General features: G+C 46.0%; 1 protein-coding gene and 1 long non-coding RNA gene across 28 annotated transcripts in view, besides 8 other annotated features; one reads left to right on the top strand and one right to left on the bottom strand.

Moving 5' to 3' along the window:
• Positions 1-16,373, bottom strand: part of AUTS2 (activator of transcription and developmental regulator AUTS2) — a 1,195,032-nt gene that overhangs the window by 86,712 nt on the left and 1,091,947 nt on the right. For 26 of the 27 annotated variants that reach the window (XM_011516010.3, XM_011516013.3, XM_011516014.3 and 23 more), the window contains one exon: positions 8,175-8,226. In XM_011516010.3, the coding sequence (XP_011514312.1) occupies positions 8,175-8,226 (52 nt within the window). Of the gene's footprint in view, positions 1-8,174; positions 8,227-11,749; positions 12,751-16,373 lie in introns of those variants that run through there. The other variant, XM_047420170.1, reaches the window with a different exon arrangement.
• Positions 2,338-3,182: an enhancer, noted in NCBI's record as "OCT4-NANOG hESC enhancer chr7:70168599-70169443 (GRCh37/hg19 assembly coordinates)". NCBI's record gives its function as "activates a minimal SCP1, AML or CMV promoter by ChIP-STARR-seq in primed H9 embryonic stem cells {active_cell/tissue: H9 hESC(primed)}" and the evidence as "EXISTENCE:reporter gene assay evidence [ECO:0000049][PMID:30033119]".
• Positions 5,867-6,834: an enhancer, noted in NCBI's record as "OCT4-NANOG-H3K4me1 hESC enhancer chr7:70164947-70165914 (GRCh37/hg19 assembly coordinates)". NCBI's record gives its function as "activates a minimal SCP1, AML or CMV promoter by ChIP-STARR-seq in naive H9 embryonic stem cells {active_cell/tissue: H9 hESC(naive)}" and the evidence as "EXISTENCE:reporter gene assay evidence [ECO:0000049][PMID:30033119]".
• LOC107986709 (uncharacterized) lies at positions 10,139-10,960 on the top strand. The gene is made up of 2 exons (XR_001744947.2): positions 10,139-10,266; positions 10,513-10,960. It is a non-coding gene; the product is annotated as an uncharacterized LOC107986709 (long non-coding RNA).
• Positions 11,290-11,359: a silencer, noted in NCBI's record as "silent region_18231". NCBI's record gives its function as "represses an Ori minimal core promoter by ATAC-STARR-seq in GM12878 lymphoblastoid cells {active_cell/tissue: GM12878}" and the evidence as "EXISTENCE:reporter gene assay evidence [ECO:0000049][PMID:35858748]".
• Positions 11,520-11,649: a silencer, noted in NCBI's record as "silent region_18230". NCBI's record gives its function as "represses an Ori minimal core promoter by ATAC-STARR-seq in GM12878 lymphoblastoid cells {active_cell/tissue: GM12878}" and the evidence as "EXISTENCE:reporter gene assay evidence [ECO:0000049][PMID:35858748]".
• Positions 11,980-12,159: a silencer, noted in NCBI's record as "silent region_18229". NCBI's record gives its function as "represses an Ori minimal core promoter by ATAC-STARR-seq in GM12878 lymphoblastoid cells {active_cell/tissue: GM12878}" and the evidence as "EXISTENCE:reporter gene assay evidence [ECO:0000049][PMID:35858748]".
• Positions 12,260-12,599: a silencer, noted in NCBI's record as "silent region_18228". NCBI's record gives its function as "represses an Ori minimal core promoter by ATAC-STARR-seq in GM12878 lymphoblastoid cells {active_cell/tissue: GM12878}" and the evidence as "EXISTENCE:reporter gene assay evidence [ECO:0000049][PMID:35858748]".
• Positions 12,610-12,969: a silencer, noted in NCBI's record as "silent region_18227". NCBI's record gives its function as "represses an Ori minimal core promoter by ATAC-STARR-seq in GM12878 lymphoblastoid cells {active_cell/tissue: GM12878}" and the evidence as "EXISTENCE:reporter gene assay evidence [ECO:0000049][PMID:35858748]".
• Positions 13,060-13,109: a silencer, noted in NCBI's record as "silent region_18226". NCBI's record gives its function as "represses an Ori minimal core promoter by ATAC-STARR-seq in GM12878 lymphoblastoid cells {active_cell/tissue: GM12878}" and the evidence as "EXISTENCE:reporter gene assay evidence [ECO:0000049][PMID:35858748]".

The following is a 16,373-nucleotide window of genomic DNA, read 5'->3' as shown; positions in this document are numbered from 1 at the left end:
TTGCAAATCACTGAAGTCATTTCTGCACTCTGGGGCAACTTTTCCATAAGTCCTTCCAAGCCAGCAATAAGTTAATCCAGATAAACAATAAAAAAGCATTTAATTTCTTGACAACTTATCAGATCTAACTTAATATAAACTCCAACCAAATGGCTATTAGGGAACCAGGTCTCTAACAGAAAAGCCTACGGAGATCATCAAAGCTATGCAAGCCACCCTCCATCCCATTTGCATTAACACAGTAAGAGGCAACAGCTCCTGATTTGTTAGGTTTCTGGGATGGGCCTGTGGCAGATAGCATTACCCATGCAGGGTTTGCTTTCCCTTCCTTCCAAGGCCCTGTGGATCCCTGTGGATCCCTCTTCTCTTCTGCTCCTCCCTGTAGGAGTTTACTTCCTACTCCATTGATGGCAGGCTTGGTCATGTGACTTTGTCTGGCCAATGAGATTTTTGGAAACGCCACACCCACCTCCAAGTGGAGGCATTCTCTGTTTCTGTCTCTGCTCTTTTCCCCTTTACCAGCCGAATAACCACGATGGGGACTCCTCCTTTGGCCTGGATCCCAGAATAAAAACAAAGAAACCTGCGGCTGATTGGCAGATGACACCTAACATAAGACTTTTGTTGTTGTAGGACTCTGAGCTATTTTGTTACTGCAGCAAAATTTGACAAAGCAGACTCACAGAGACCCAGTGACTTGATGCAGAAGAGCAGACATCTGTCAAGATCCAGCATGTACTGGGGTCGTGGTGTATACGAGGAAATGCTTTATAATAGAAACTGCACATGGGACAAGGTGGCCCTTCACCCCAAGCCATACCAGTGGCAGAATACTTTTTCCCTACTCCCACATTCAGTTCATGCTGAGAGGCTTGTTCGGATGGAAAATTCTGCACATAGGATGCACACAGACCTATCAGAGCACCCCACGAGGGATTGACTTCTTCCACTCCTATCCAAGGGCTTTAAGGGTTGATGAGAAGTCATTTGTAGGAGGAGACCCAGAGGCCCAGCTCCTATGCCCAGCTTTCCTCTTGGAGGTAAAATGAATCTCCACTTTCTGGGCCACTTCATACAATCAGGCCTCAGAGTGCACTCTCCCAGTAAGTCCAGGCAAGCTCAGCTAATGACAAGAGTCAAGTCTGTGGGGTGGAGGAGGCGAAGGGGGAAAAAAGAGAGTGGAACAGCACCTCTGAGTTCAGGAGAGTCTGGAATCTCCTTGGTGAATTCATGAAATGGCTCTTCAATAGACAGCTGTTTCTACTTTTTAAAAGCACAGACTGGGCAAGTAGGTAAAATACTTTGATGTTAGCTCCGGGCTAAATAAAAGACAGCTGAGTAAAAGTTCAGGCACTATGAAATTAATAAAATCACTGTTGCACTCGTTCCACCAGAGGTTCAGGAATAAACTGGTAAAAATCCGAAATGCACGGAGCGGATTACTCGAGTGGGAATCAATCATTTTCTCCACTGAAGTTTTCTGGCATTTCCTTATACAGTACAGTCACTGGATTCATAATTCACCAAAGGTGCTTCCTGAGACTGCGCTTTCTGAGTAATTGAGACAAATTCTGTTAAATAAATTCCAGACGAGAGTGTATTTGACTTATGCACAGGAAAGGAAGGAATTCTTATATAAGCCGCAAAACAATAGAGTTTTATCTTATCTGAGGAACTTATTGCTGCTTGCCTGTGTGTATTTTACTGCCAAAATAAAATAAATTGAATCAGCTCACACATGATAACATGCTCTTTCCTAACTCATACTAATTGCTTAGCTAATTGATGTTTGTTGAACTTTCTCCATTTCATTGAGTGATTAGGTACAAAGCTAACAGTTGACATCTGTAGGCGCTTAACTGGCGTCTGTAATTACTGTTAATGTTAAATAATTGTTAGTTAATTGGAGTGGTAACTGACTGAATGGAATCCAGATTGTGAAGCAAAAAGAAACCTAGTTAAATAAACATACATATTCAGAGAAAACAACATTTTTCTGCAGTTGTCAGAAACTAGAAATAATCCAGAGGCCACGGGCTAGCCACGGGCTTCCTCCATTTAGGAACCCTCCTGTCTGGGGTTGGCCCGCGTGATTGAGCCCTTTGTCACTCAACTGTTCTCATTAGACTCTAGAGAACTGATCTGATATTTTTCAATTCCAATTGTCTATCATGAATGCATATTACTTTCTGAGACAACCAAATACTAACTACATCATTAACTACACAAAACGCTAAATATGAATGGATTGAAGAGAGGCTGATGAACATTCAAGCTTTTTGGTCAATATTGCCAAGGATAGAGAAAACTCTTTCAAAGGACAGCAGTAATCGCCCAGTATAAGTCAAGGGCTTTCCACTGAGCTCAAAAGTAACCAGAGTGATGTTTGAACATCTGACTAAAAGAATGGAATGGGTTACACTGTAATCTACGCCTCCTCCATCACAGGGGCACTCAGGATGGAAAAGTGGCAGCTGTCAAAAGTTCTACCCAAAAGGCATCATCAAGATCACTTCGAATGCCTGGAATCTTCCACCCGGTTCACAATTCCAGTGATGGGATCCAGTATCCCAGGATTCACCACCACACGCATTCACAAGTTCGGCAAAAGATCAGTTCGGCCAAAGCAACTATTGGAAAATTTTCGGGAGACACTTTCATGCAACATGGAATATTTTTTGACTGTTACTGGTGGTTTCACACTAACAGTACAAGGCATCTGTTTCCAAGAACGCTCAAAGGATGATTCTATACAACAAATTCTCCAAGAGTCGGCTTCTATAGGAAGGTCAATTTCCATAACAAAAGGAGCTGATTGCATGCTATTTGCAGTATGGAGTAGGAGGAGGGACTGAACTACTCATAACTCCTTTGTCTCTTGCATCAAGTACCAATTACCCTTAAATACTACTTAACTCTCCAGACATCTCTATCTCCTAAAAACTCAAGAAAATGCTCTGAAATAGTACAAAGAAGGTCCAGAGGGAGAAAAATAAATGAGTGATGTTCTAACTCTCCCTTATGTGGAATTTAAGGCATGACAAAAACCAAACTAATTTACAGAGACTGAAACGGGCAGTTTGCTCTTGTGCACATCGGAAATGCACTTTACATCATGTCCTCCCTGCGACTAAACCCAAGACCCTAGGAGGAATTGTAAAATGGTCTCCATATGTTCATTATAAAGGGATTTTAAACTGTAAACCAAATTTTTTTCTTAAGAGAGCTATTCCACAGTCAACTGCATTATTTTCATGCATAGAATTATTTTATGGAAAGGCCTTTTTTTTTTTTTTTTTTTTTTGAAATGGTGTCTCACTCTGTCGCCCAGGCTATAGTGGCACAATCAGGGCTCACTGCAGCCTCGACCTTGTGGGCCCAAGTGATCCTCTCACCTCACCCTCCCAAGTAGCTGAGACTACAAATACACGCTACCAACCCCAGCTAGGTTTTTGGAATTTTAGTAGAGATGAGGTCTTGCTATATTGCCCAGGCTGGTTTTGAGCTCCTGAGCTCAAGCAATCCTCCTGCCTCAGCCTCCCAAAAGTTCTGGGATTACAGGCATGAGTGACCATGCTCGGCGGGAATGGGTTTTTCTTAAAAGTCAAATGGTGACCTTGATGGTAATATAACTCTTACCTTTCTGTCACCAAACCAAGGAAATCCCTTGTGTCTAAACCTAAAGAATAAGGTCATATGGTCGCCATGGAAGAATTTATTAGGTACCTGGTTACTAAGCCAGCAGTATCGCTGGGTAACTTGTTTCTTACCTCATCTCCTCAGATTTCAGGCAATTTTTAAGCTAGGTCTTCTTTCTACAATGCTGATAGAACCATACTGCCAAAAATATCCAAAGGCTTCACTAACCTAAAGGCTCCAACCTCATCTGTGTTCCACCGGAAATTCTCAGTGCAAAACCAACCCCAAGAAGAGGCCGGGTGTGTTCCACTAATAGGCCTGGTAGGGCCCGGGAGAGGAAAAGCAGTCCTGGTCAGAGAGGGCTCCAGGTGGCCAGAGCGTTGCGTCTGGTGCTCTTCTTGGTGAGTGACTATCCACTAGAACCTCCCAGGCTGATGGAGGTGAGGTGGGGTCCTGCCTACGAGGGTGAGCAGCTGCTCTGTTGCTGTTCACATTTCAGGAGACACTGGGTGCCCACAGTAGAAAGAAGCAGAATGAGGGGCCTCATTCCCTGCTGGAGGAAACCATTCAGAAATGCCCATTTAGCTGGGCACAGCTCCCCGATGGCTCACTCAGGAGGCTTTTCCCCAGGAGTACCCAGTTCTGCAATTTGAGACAAAGTTGAAGGAAAGAGAAGGGGTGAGAAAGTCACGGGGTAAAATACACCACTGTGCCCCTCTCACCGTCTATCTATGAGTTGTCTTGACTTGTCATCGTCTATCTGTGACTTGTCTTGGTTACGGGCTAAATCCTGGGAAGGAGGGCTCTGAACCAAGAAGGGAGAGCAATTCAGGGATTTTTCTCTTCCCCTAACCTAGACCACAGCCACATGCCAGGACTGGCATCCTATAAACAGAGGGCTCCACAGAACTCCTGACGCCTGACTAGTGTTGTCCTTCCTCCCAGACAGGCTTCCCTTCTTTTCTTTCCTCCTCAAGCAGCTCTGCTCTGGAGCAATCCAAGAGTTTTAGGAAAGATTCATTATCTTGGCAGGATAATTGTGTGCAGCAAAGAACTCATTTTCTGCACTTTTGTCTACAGACCAAACTGGTGACACCAGCAAGGATCTACAGTAGGCAAGAGAGGATAATAAATACTAGCCATGTTGAATAGACTGAAAGTTCCTTTATAGAATAAATACCCCAGAATTTGGGGTACAGGTCCTGTTGCTCCTATAGCATTTCAATCAACTAAATAGGGTTACTAAGTCTCTCTCTGTGCCTCTGTCTCAGTGGGAAAATTAATTTTTTCTTTGGCAGATGGTTGAATCACAAAGACAGAAGGATTCATAAAATTCACATGAACATCCTGTAAACATTTAAACACATAAAGATTAAATATGGCAACTATGACCTTGATTAAAGTTAAACTGTTTTTTTGTGTCTACAACGCTAAGCCCTGCTCAATGCCACACCCCTTTCGAAATGCTCAGTCCTCATTAGGCATGTTGTGTGTACATGCAAGCATGTGCTGTTTGATTAACTTGTTTTAAAGCAGGAAATAAAAGGCAGGAGAAGAAAACGACCATTCGGAACACCTAAACACAAAAATCTCTATGAAACTGGATGGCATCTATAACACAGGGAAAGTCAAAATAAAATCGATGAACAAACGTGATATAAAATATACTCACTGTATCCACTCTGTTTCAACCCCTGCCCCTTCCCAATTAATTGTTTTATCCCCACCAGAGATGTTGGCCCTGGAATAGGTTTTGTTATGATTGAAAATCTTGACCTAAAGAGGGTAAATGACTTATTCAAGCTCACAAGCTGACTGATGGGCCTCGAGCCACGGCCCCTGCTGCCTCTGCCTGAGCTTCATCTCCGCACTGTGCAGCCCAACATCAGGGCTGCGCCCCCCCAACCCCCACCACAATCAGCTTGTGAGATTAGCACTGCCCTCCCACGGTGAAATTTTATGGACCAAATCTGCCTGCCACCAGGCTCAGCAGCATAATCTCACCAGCAGCTTAAAGCCACACTCCTCTAAGGCCAGAATACTACCAGTCTCTTGAGAGGGAGAAGTGATGTGTAACTTAAACATCTGGAGGTGGAGGGATACACGTGTCAGCTCCCCTGCACTCTGGTTAGATTGTCCCATAAGCTGGGGCTTTGAAGATTTCCCCAGTTGTGTTTGTTACCTGGTGTAAATTTGCCCTTTCTTATGATGCTTTTTATTGCTCTTGGCTAAAGATACTGGACAAAGATAGGAGACCTGACTTTCAGGCAGGCAGGCCGCCTTGCAGGAAAACTTGAACTTGATGTGCATGAAGCTGACAGTTCCTTGAAGGCCTTGTCAGCCATTCATCCTGTAAACACTGCCACTACCCGGAGTAAAAACAGACCCAAAACCACAAGCCTATAAGGAGACTCTGCACCTGTCCTGAAGCAATTATTGACATTATCGCTACACAATGAATCCCTTTTTGAAGTTGTTTTCCTGATATTTAGCAGTTTGAATACTAATCCCCTTAACAAAACTGTCCCCGATGCTTTCCCCCTCCACACCCCCCTTAATCTCTTTCTCCCCAGGGAGGAAAGGGGGTGCGGGATACCAGTCAGTCTACTTTGCACCACCTGGATTCGCACTGATTCCGTCTCTTGTCATTCATGTTACCAACAGGAATTAGCATAAGGCATTAAGGGGAAACTCTGGAGGAGAAAAGAAAGGCCATTTTGATGGAAATAAGGGGCAAAGGAATAATCTGCCATCAACTAAAATGCTTATTTGTGTATGGTTTCCCAAGCAAAGCTTAGAAAAAGCCTATGTTGATTTTAGTGTACACAAAGAAACCTTAATCCTTTCAAGGCAACTAAATCACCCCTAGAAAAGCAGCTCAGAAGAAAGGCACCCTGTCAGGGGGAGGGCTATTCACAACCAAATAGATGCCACAAATCACACTCTGTAAGTAAACAAAAATAAGAATGTGGGAAACGTTTGATTGGAAAAGGAAAAAAAGGGGGGGAAAGAACCAGAGGGAAGAGGCAGAGGCGAGCTGTTCATCCGCCCTGAAGACAATCTTTCAGGGCAGTGGCGGCCAGAGTGCAGGTCTTGGAGCCAACTCTTATTCTAGGGCCTGATCCCAGAAAGGGGAAATACATTCCAAAGCTTTCAGTAGCAAATCAGCAGAAGACAGACACAGTCACATGTGGCAGAGGTCCTGGGGGGCTGCAGAAACGAAGAAGCCCTGCCTTTGGTGACCTGCCCTCTACCCCAGTCTCCCTCTCCCATCACCCTCCTTTCTCACAAGGAAACGCCAAGTGGTAGACAATTGTGCATTTTTACACACGAGTACTGTATGCTATGAATGGCACACATCTTCTTTTATTGGGCTTTTAGCATTATGGATAACACATTTATACAAACTTTCAGTCCATCAGAAAATATGATGAAATATAAAACTGGAATACTCCATTATGCAATAAAAAAAGATAAAATTCAATATGACAGTAATTCTGGGAGTAACGGCAATCACATACACCTCAAGGGAACTCTAAACATAATGTACTATTTAAAATTGCAATTGGTTCAAATTCTAAAATAATCTGGGAGCTCAAAATAACTGCACTTGGAAATGTCTTACTAACCAGCTAGCAAAAATGCTAGCCAAGGCAACTACAGAAGGCTGAAATGGTCTCAAATTTCACTTTGTGAAGGCCCAAGTCTGTTCAAGTGCTACCAAGTGTCGCCCATGTAACCCAGAAAGAGATTATCACAGAAAGCACATCTTTACTTAGCAATTATCATGCCAGCCCCTAAATCAGGCTCGACAGTGGAAAGGGGAAGATTAAATAGTTTATATGGTTTGTCCCTTTCAAATTACACACCTTTCAGAGCCAGTGATTACAGACTCCCCTAAATTTCCTTATTTCCAACGATACTGCTAACAAATGAAAGCTGCGCAGAAACCTACTGGCAATGATTTAAGGTTAGTTTTCCCTTAATGTACTGCTATATCATTAGCCTCTCTTACTCTAGATCGTGGTTTGGAAGAAATTAATGGGATAGTGCATATTTAAATTCTGCCCTCTCGCTCGTTTATTAACTTTACAGAAAGCCCACAGCAGAGTAAGGCTTGGTTTATGACCATAATACTGTGAATTCTAAACATCCATTGATTACTGGAGTCTGCAATGCACATCAGCTATTTATATTTCTCCTATTGCTGGGTAGTTGATAAGTAACAATAAAGTTCAGGCATTTTGAGAACTATTCTTCTCGAGTACAGCTTTCTATATTAAAGTCACATAGTAGTAGTGATTAGTCAAATCAGTTTAAATAGGGACTCAATGTATTCTTTTAAAATAAACTGGTTGTTAATGTTAATGCATCACAAAGTATGCAGACTTCCATCTCAAGCAAAAACATGAAACATCAACAGTAGCTTCAGAATTATAAGAGAAAGATCACTCTAGCTCTTCTTTCTTCCTAGGCAATGACAATGAAACTAACATAAAAATAAGCCATTACTCAGGAGAATGAATGGGTCTTACCTTTGTTTACAATAACAGTGTTGAAGAGTTTTTCAGAGCTGGCATCTGATGCCTGAAAAACAAGAAGGGGGAAAAAAGCATTATTATTGTCATTAATATTGTCATCACCATCAACATTCCCATTATTTTAAATCAGTTGACTACATTTTACGAAAGCCTAGCAGGGAAGCAGCAATGTCCCCAAATCATCCATAAGGTGGTGCTAGTTGACTGCTTGAGAGAGACCTGCAGTGCAGCTATTTGCTGGGGGGAAAAAAATCTGATTTTAAAAATGTGTCCTTATTAGACACATTATCTGTGCAAAACATATTTCTATGAGATGATACACAAAGCAATTCAGCTCATTCACATAATGATTTTGCAATTTCGTTGACAGATCATTATTTTGGAAATGTTATGTTTTTCGTGGTATTTGCAGACATGCCAATTTTTCAATTTTCTTTCACAAATCAGAAATGCCTATTATTTAATGCTAAGCTTTTCCTCACTAAAAAGTGTAAGCCAACACTGCCAGAAATTAATTTTTTTTTAAGATTCATCTGATGACTCCAAGATCCCTGTCCCTTGCAGTAACCAAACGACCTTGGTGTTCAAAAAGATGCAAGCCGGCCTGCCCCAAAATCCGACCACTATGCATGCCACCAGCATTATTTCCTTTCCATTTTCTAGAGAACATGTCTGCTAATTATTACAGTGGCTTGAGGAAGGTGAAATAAGCCTGTTTAAACAGTAAAACTAAAGCCAATTTAAATTATACACTAATGTTCTGGAAAATAAACATGGAAGTCGGTTTGAAGGAAAATGCTGTAATGTTTCAGCACTGAATATTTCTAGAACTTGAAAAAATAAAAATTAAGCATCTCCACTACATAACGTGAGGATATATCTGCATTTAAAGTTATAATGGCCAAGCTATATTTGTGCTGTTTTCACTACATAACCCTCATGAGAAATCACTCATCTTTCACACTTGATACACAGAGATGCATATTCTGAGAAAGCAAAAGCCTAGAATGTTGAATAAATATGGAAAAAGGAAATATAGGAAATGGGGGGGGGGAATTCTGAAGTGCAGCATATTTTGACTCTGGGGCTAGCTTTTAGGGACAAAGAGGATATTCAATTTAGTCTTTCCATGTAATACTGACAAAGATGAAATATTCCTGTGTACATCTGGGGGACATGTTCTAGTTCTCAATGCAAGTGATATAGAAAGACAAAATATTTGTATTAAGACTGTTTTTTGCTTTATTTTAATTCTAACATTACTTTTATGGGGGTGTCCATATGATTAACCAATCCAGAAACAATGAATGTATGTGCAAAACGAACATTGAAGTGCATACATTTATACATGCAGTTTAACATAAACCCTAGATAGATTTTTTCCTATTTTGCAGGAATAATGAAAAATACAGAGGGCCTTCCTGACATCTTAAACTATATATAACAGTACCTTTACATAAAAACAAACTGCCAAAAAAAAATGTTAATGGGAGAGAAACAAGTCATACCTAGATCAAGAATAGTGAGTTATAAAGCCAAAAATTGCATGATGATGCTACACTGAAATATTAAGTGAGATTTCTAGGACTGTGAGTTTCCCAGCTAAAAACTCGAGATATGTGTATTTTACCATCCTTTCATGAAAAAGTGTTTCTTAGAACGGGTTGGAATTCTTTTTGAATGTAAATTCATGTTAAATTCATGGCTTACAAAATTAATGAACTGATAGAAGGGGAAAAAAAAGCCTGTTTATTAAAGTGTTTTACCAAACTGACATAACCTTTGAAAATTCTGGGATTACCTATTAAAGTGACTCTAATTGGCCCCAAGAAATGTAAAAACAAATTACTGTCTCTGAATGCAAAAAGCATAAACAGGGAAAGTAAATGGTTCCTGACCAAGTTTTTATTTGCACTTAGTGTGTGTGTGTGTGTGTGTGTTCGAGTGAAAAGGACAGAAGCTGTGGGTGAACAGGCCTTTTGCTTCTGCCACCTTTGTCAGCTCCACATGGGATTCTCAGACAGACACTTACGTGATCCTCATGTCTGAACCAAACTTGAGGATGCCATTATTATGATGCCGATCAGTAAGTTATTAAGGAAGTAAGTCTGACCGGATATTCAGAGAGGCTTAGGAGTGTATCTTCGACTAAAAGCTTTCTAAGCCCTTACTTGGCTGATACAAGTCACAGGGCTGGACACCATGCCTCTTGCAACTGGGAAAGGGGGTGTCTCAGAAAGGCCTCCCCAGAAAAACACCCAAAAGATGACGACTGCAATGGGGCTCTGGCTGACCGTGAAAACATTCTGGATCCCTTCTCTCTCCTATCCAGGTGGTTACAACTGTGGCCGGCCACTGTCCTAACAAGTCAGAAGAGAGATTCTTTGCCAAAATCTTCAGGGGAAACGACACGAGTACCCTTTGCTTTTCCTCAACGAACTTTCCTTCTACTTAGGGTTTTAGGGCATTTGTACAAATGATTTGTTCCTTGGGTCTGAATCTTGGGGATGTTTATCATTTTCGTTGCTTTCAGAAAATAGTCTGCATTTCCTTCTATTACCTGGACCATTTTCCTGGCTTTTTAAAAAAAATTATTATTCAAATGGAAAAGCGGCGAGCCCAGAATGAGCCGACGAATTGAGCTCTTCCTTCTCTCGAACACGGGGGCACCTCTACCCGCTACAGACTTGAAGATTTTACTCACTTCCTTTCATCCCCTCGCTCGGTTTTGGAGGGTAGGGGCATGAAGTGGTTGAATCTAAAACTGACAGAAAACCAAAGCTCTCTTTTGGCTGCTTTTTATTTAAGGGAAGGGGGAATATGTTTTTTTGTTTTTTTGGATGTAAAAAAAATATTGCTAGAAGCCGTAGTTGGCGTTTAAAGGAAAGTTAAGTAAGTGAAACAGATTGGAGGCGGGAACGCGGAGAATAAGGAAAACTTATAAAAAGCCGTGCGTGCAGACGGGGTGGGACCCAGCGATTCCTGCTTCAGGCCCACCCTCACTCCCTTCGGACGCAGACCCCGGGGGCCGCCCTCCGCACCCGCACAGGCGAGAAGGGGGGCTTTCGAACAACAAAACAGAAACCTCCTGGAAACTTAAGCGCGAGTTCTTTCTCCCGCTGCCGAACCCGAGCCCAGATCTCCTTTCGCCTCCCTTGGCACCGGGTGCGGGCCGGGATCCCGACCTCCGCGCTGGGGAAGCGCGACCCCAGGAGCGGGCAGCGCCACGCTAGGGCCCCCAGCTCAAGCGGACGCAGGCCCCGGCCCCCTCCTCACATCGGAGCTTGGCGGCGAACGCCAGGCCCTCCCGGGCACGACCGCGCAGCTCCGGCCGAGCCCGGCCGGCCGAGGGAGGAAAGTACAAAGGCGGGCGACAGGGCCGCAGAGGGGGGAGGAAAGAAGGGAGGAGGGGTAGCGAAGGGGCGCTTGGGCGCGCCAGACGGGAGAAGCCCGCCCCTGCCACCCCTGCCCGCCGGCCCGGCCGCCGCAACAAAAGACCCCCGATCCGGCCGCCTCCCTTCCGACCGCGAGAGGTAGGCAAGCGAGCCGCGCCCCGGGGGCTTCATTACCTGGTTGCAAAGGGTTAAACGGTCCGGTCAGCCCCAAGTTCATGGTTTGGTTCTTTAGCAGGGCTCCCGAAGGGCGATCGTCAAAGACCAGGGGGGAAACCACCAAAACACACGAAGAGAAAACGCCCAACTCTCGACCCGGCTCTGTCCACAAGAGTCTCTGGGCTCCTTCCTCGCCAAAGTCCGAGAGCGGAGGCGCCGAACCAGATCCGAACCGGGCAACAGCTTCGGGGCGACCGAGAGCCGGCGCCGCGCGCACACATCCAGCGCGGCCGAGGCCCCGGGCGGCGGGAGGAGCGCGCCCGCCGAGATCGCCCGGCCCGCGCTCGCCACTGTCTCCCCGCCGCTCCTGCGGCGCGCGGGGCCGCGCTGGCGCGGCGGGGGCTAACAAGGCGCGTCCCGGGCCGGCCGGCGGGAGGGCGAGGCGGAGAAGAGCGGCCTGAGCCGCCGCCGCGGCGCGCGGAGCTAAGAGCGAGGCGGCGGCGGCGGCGACAGGACAAAGGAGACCATGTGCGGAGGGAGGGAGGAGGGAGAGGGAGGAGGAGGAGGAGGGCGCGCGGCGGCTTCTCCCCGGCGGCCGCCCGGGGCTCCCCGACAGCCGGTCCCGCCTCTCCAGCCGCGCCGCGGGCTGCCTGGTCCTGGGCCCGCCGCGGTGCTGGAGGGAGCCGCTCCGGGAGTCTGGATTTTGTGCGGATCTCGCCGGCGCGCGGCCCAGGAGGCGCTGCAACGGCGGGGCGCGGGGCGGCGGCGCCTCTGGCCGGAGCTTGCGGGCTGGCGGGTGAGCGCCCGGGGCTGGCTGGGCTCCGGCCCGCGCTCGGCTTGCGGGCGCCTGCCTCTCCCGCCGGTTCACAGCTCAAGTGAACTCCATCGGCGGCCGCCGCGGGCTCCCTGGCTGGACGGTAGCAGGAGGGGGCGGCGGCTACGCGGGGGCCCCTTGCTCCGGACTTCGCTCCCCGACTGCGCCGAGCGCGCCTCCTCCAGACGCTCGCAGCTCTCGGAGCGGGACTTCCTCGGCGCGCCGAGCCCGAGCCGCCGGTGCCACCGCCCCTCCTCCGTCCCGCCCCGCGCGCCCCGCCCCTCGCCGCCCCTCCTCTCGTCCCCGGCGCCGGGTCGGCCCAGCGGAGGCGCGGTCCCCAGGCGCGACATCGACAGCTGTTGCTCCCCCCGCGGCTCGAGCCCTCGGCTCCCCCCGGCTGCCTTCCTTGCGGGCGGGCGCGGCGGAAACTGCACCGCTCCTCGCCCTCCCCGCAGTTGCCGCTTCCAAGATTGCGCCATGGCAGGGAAAGGCCACTAGGCCCGCAGCCTGGGGTTGAATTGCCACCAAGCCAGTCACATCTGCAAAGAGCAGGCTCTCTGGGCGGTTGTGAGGGCTCAGTGGTAAAGTCATGTATGTAAAAGGCCTGGCACATAGTAGGCGCTCAATACAAAATAATCATTGCATTGTGGAAAATGGAGACGGGGATCACGGTCTGGGTCTCAGACACAAAGGTCTTCACCTAACCTCCTTCCCCACCACAGCCGACTGACCGCAGTGTGCTCGGTTTGATGAATAACTTAAGAGCATGAACTGGCCACTTAGAAATCCTCTCCTCCCAGCTCCTCACACCCTCTGACACGTGCACACCCTGCATCCACAAAAGTGGAGCCTGTTGCTTCCCCTGGCATTCACCGAATGTAGGGAAAGAATGAAAGCAATGGCAAAGCCTCGCTACATGGGCAGCAGTTACGTCTATCATCCTAACATGTATCGTGTCTGTATCCCCTAGAGCACAGTGCAGTGCCCCCAGAGGGTGTGGGGGACTGAATGGCCAGAAATGAGGCACTCAGCAGATTCCCCTGAGCAACCCACTCCCACCAGAACGCACCCCGGGCGAGGAAACCCTCTGAAAACATCTGGAGTTTTAATTCCACACCTGCAGCTTGACAAGGTCCCTCCTTGGTGCAGAGGAAAAGCTGCTGCAATTTTCCTAGTACAAGAAAAAGAGCAAGCAAGCCCTAGGTTGCAACCGGTAGGGTTGTGGAGTACAGTGGGCACACCAAGGTGGGGTGAGAGGAAAACTTCAGTTCTAAGTCCCCTCCCAGTGCCACCGTTACCTGGAGTGTGGCTGGAGGAAGAGAGGAAGAGAACAGGGGTTGGGAGAGATGCACACCACATATGAATGACATGCAGACTGGTTTAAAGTAATGATGGCCACTCCTTGCCTCTTTGAAGTTGCATGTCTATCACTATTTGATTTCATGGCACTCTTGAAAAACCTCTCAAGTTAAAAAAAAAAAAAAAAGGTGGGGGTGCTTGCTGTATGGCATACTTCCCCCTCCTCTAGCCTCTAAGTTTGGAAATAAGAAGCCTTCTCTCTCTAGCTTCATCACCCCCTCCCCCAAACTGGTAGCACAATGTGGTGTTATACAAGTCTTTTTAAAAATATAGGTAACAGTGATTTTTCTCTACCACTGCCTCCTGAGAAGTCAAAAGAAAAGGCATCTCAGAAGGTATAGGTTTGGAGATGGATTTTCCAGTTGCTTACAAGATGTCACAATACCCAGCTGTGGTCCTCCAGGGAGGCGGCATTCATTCTGAAGCTGTTTAGACAATACCAGGATAGCTCAAAGGTGGACATGAAATGTTCTAGAGAAGACATTAAAAGGTTGTTTCTTTTGGAACAATCAAAATGGAACAGTTTTCTTATCTTGTTGTTCTAGCAAAATCGGTGTTACAGGGAAGAAACTGCCTGAGCTCCTGCACCATCCCCTACAGGGTAAACTGAGAGCACGATGGCATGGCAGCTTAGCTGACCAGCTGAAACCACTTGGCCCTCCAGGGTGCTTTCATTAGGTGGCACTTCTGACATTTATCATGCCTTGCATTAGATTGTCATCAGTCTGGGCGCAGTTGCTCACGTCTGTAATCCCAGCACTTTGGGAGGCCGAGGCAGGTGGATCACTTGAGGTCAGGAGTTTGAGACCAGCCTGGCTAACATGGCGAAACCCCGTCTCTACTAATAAAATGTGTAGAGGTGCACACCTGTAACCCCAGCTACTTGGGAGGCTGAGGCAGGAGAATCGCTTGAACCTGGGAGGTGGAGGTTGCAGTGAGCCGAGATCACGCCATGCCACTGTACTACAGCCTAAACAACAGAGTAAGACTTTATCTCAAAAAAAAAAAAAAAAAAATTGTCATCAATGGTTACCAGGGATTAGGCCTCAGATGACGGCCTCAGCCAGATCTGCATGTGTCCAGATCTTTTGATGATCTCTCATCAAGAGGAACCTGGGAACGCCAAAAGCCAAGCCTCTGACCACTGTGGCCACCTCCAGTGCTGCTCCCCAGGGTCCCCTGGCTGGCCCGGTTGCAGAACACCACCCACTGTGACCTGCTCCATTTCTCATCCTCTCTCCAGACTCACAAATGAGCCCATTTCTGACTGGTTTCCAAACTGCTCTATTCCCTATGCTTTCTGGAAGCGGGGATGGGAATGAATGTCAAAATTGGAGGGGACCAGGTACACAACAGCATCAGAAGTAGGAAGAAGGAAGAAAGAAGACTAAATTTGATAATCCATATATTAGGGACTGAATCCAGGTCAGAGGGCTTTCAATAATCAGGAAGATTGTTTTTTTTTTTTTTCCTTGAGAAATTTAATTTCCTTTTATTGGAGTTTTAATATAAAGATGCCAAGTCAAAGGCTGGAAGCTATCTTTTCTGTTACATGGAGGTGGATTAACATACTAAACACTAATGGCTTCTTAACATCACCTTTAGCCTCTGAACCCAATCTAAGGAGAACAAGTCTTAGAAAGCGGCAACCCTTTCTAATAGAAAGCAGAGAGCAAGAATGTGGACTCAATTTCCACTCTGGTGTTAGATTAATGATTTCAGAAATAATTTTTAATATATGCCCAAAGATCTTAGCCAAGTTTATGATTAATCAGTTTAAAAAAAATGTAAAGCTACGTTAAAATATGGAGCCTTCTTCCTCAAATCTCAAAAATACATCTAAAGATTTAAACTAGGTTTAAAAACAAAGGGAAATTCTTGTAAGTCAATCTATACTTTCAAATTCTTATGAATTTATTAACTTATTTAAGAGACAAGGTCTCACTTTGTCACCCAAGCTGGAGTGCAGTGGCACAATCATAGCTCACTATAACCTGGAACTCCTGGGCTAAAGCAATCCTCCCGCCTCAGCCTTCCAAGTACCTGGGACTACAGGTGTGTACCACCACGCCCAACTAATTTTTATTTTTTGTACAGACAAGGTCTTCCTATACTGACCAGGCTGGTCCTAAACTCCTGGCCTCAAGTGATTCTCCCACCTTGACCTCCCAAAGTACTGGGATTACAGGCATGAACCACTCTGTCTGGCCTATACTTGCAAATTCTTAAAAATTATAATCTGAGATGGGATTCAATTTATATCACAAATTACCAGATTTAAGCTAAATATATTTTAGCAAAATATTTCTTACAAATTATAGTCTTCTGTTAAGCGTTTTATACAGAGAAAGTTCATTAATTTCATTGTGCTCCCCCTCCTAAATATAATGAAGTTCAGGCACTCTAACAGCGCATGTGCTGTGTGCTTCTTGAGGTGGTTTAAAGGAAGAGGAAGTCTTCACCAGAATT

This window comes from Homo sapiens, chromosome 7 (genome assembly GCF_000001405.40).
Source record: "Homo sapiens chromosome 7, GRCh38.p14 Primary Assembly".
In the NCBI taxonomy this organism is placed as follows: Eukaryota; Metazoa; Chordata; class Mammalia; order Primates; family Hominidae; genus Homo; species Homo sapiens.
The sequence above is the reverse complement of the archived record's forward strand: the minus strand, read 5'-3'. Positions and strand labels throughout refer to the sequence as shown.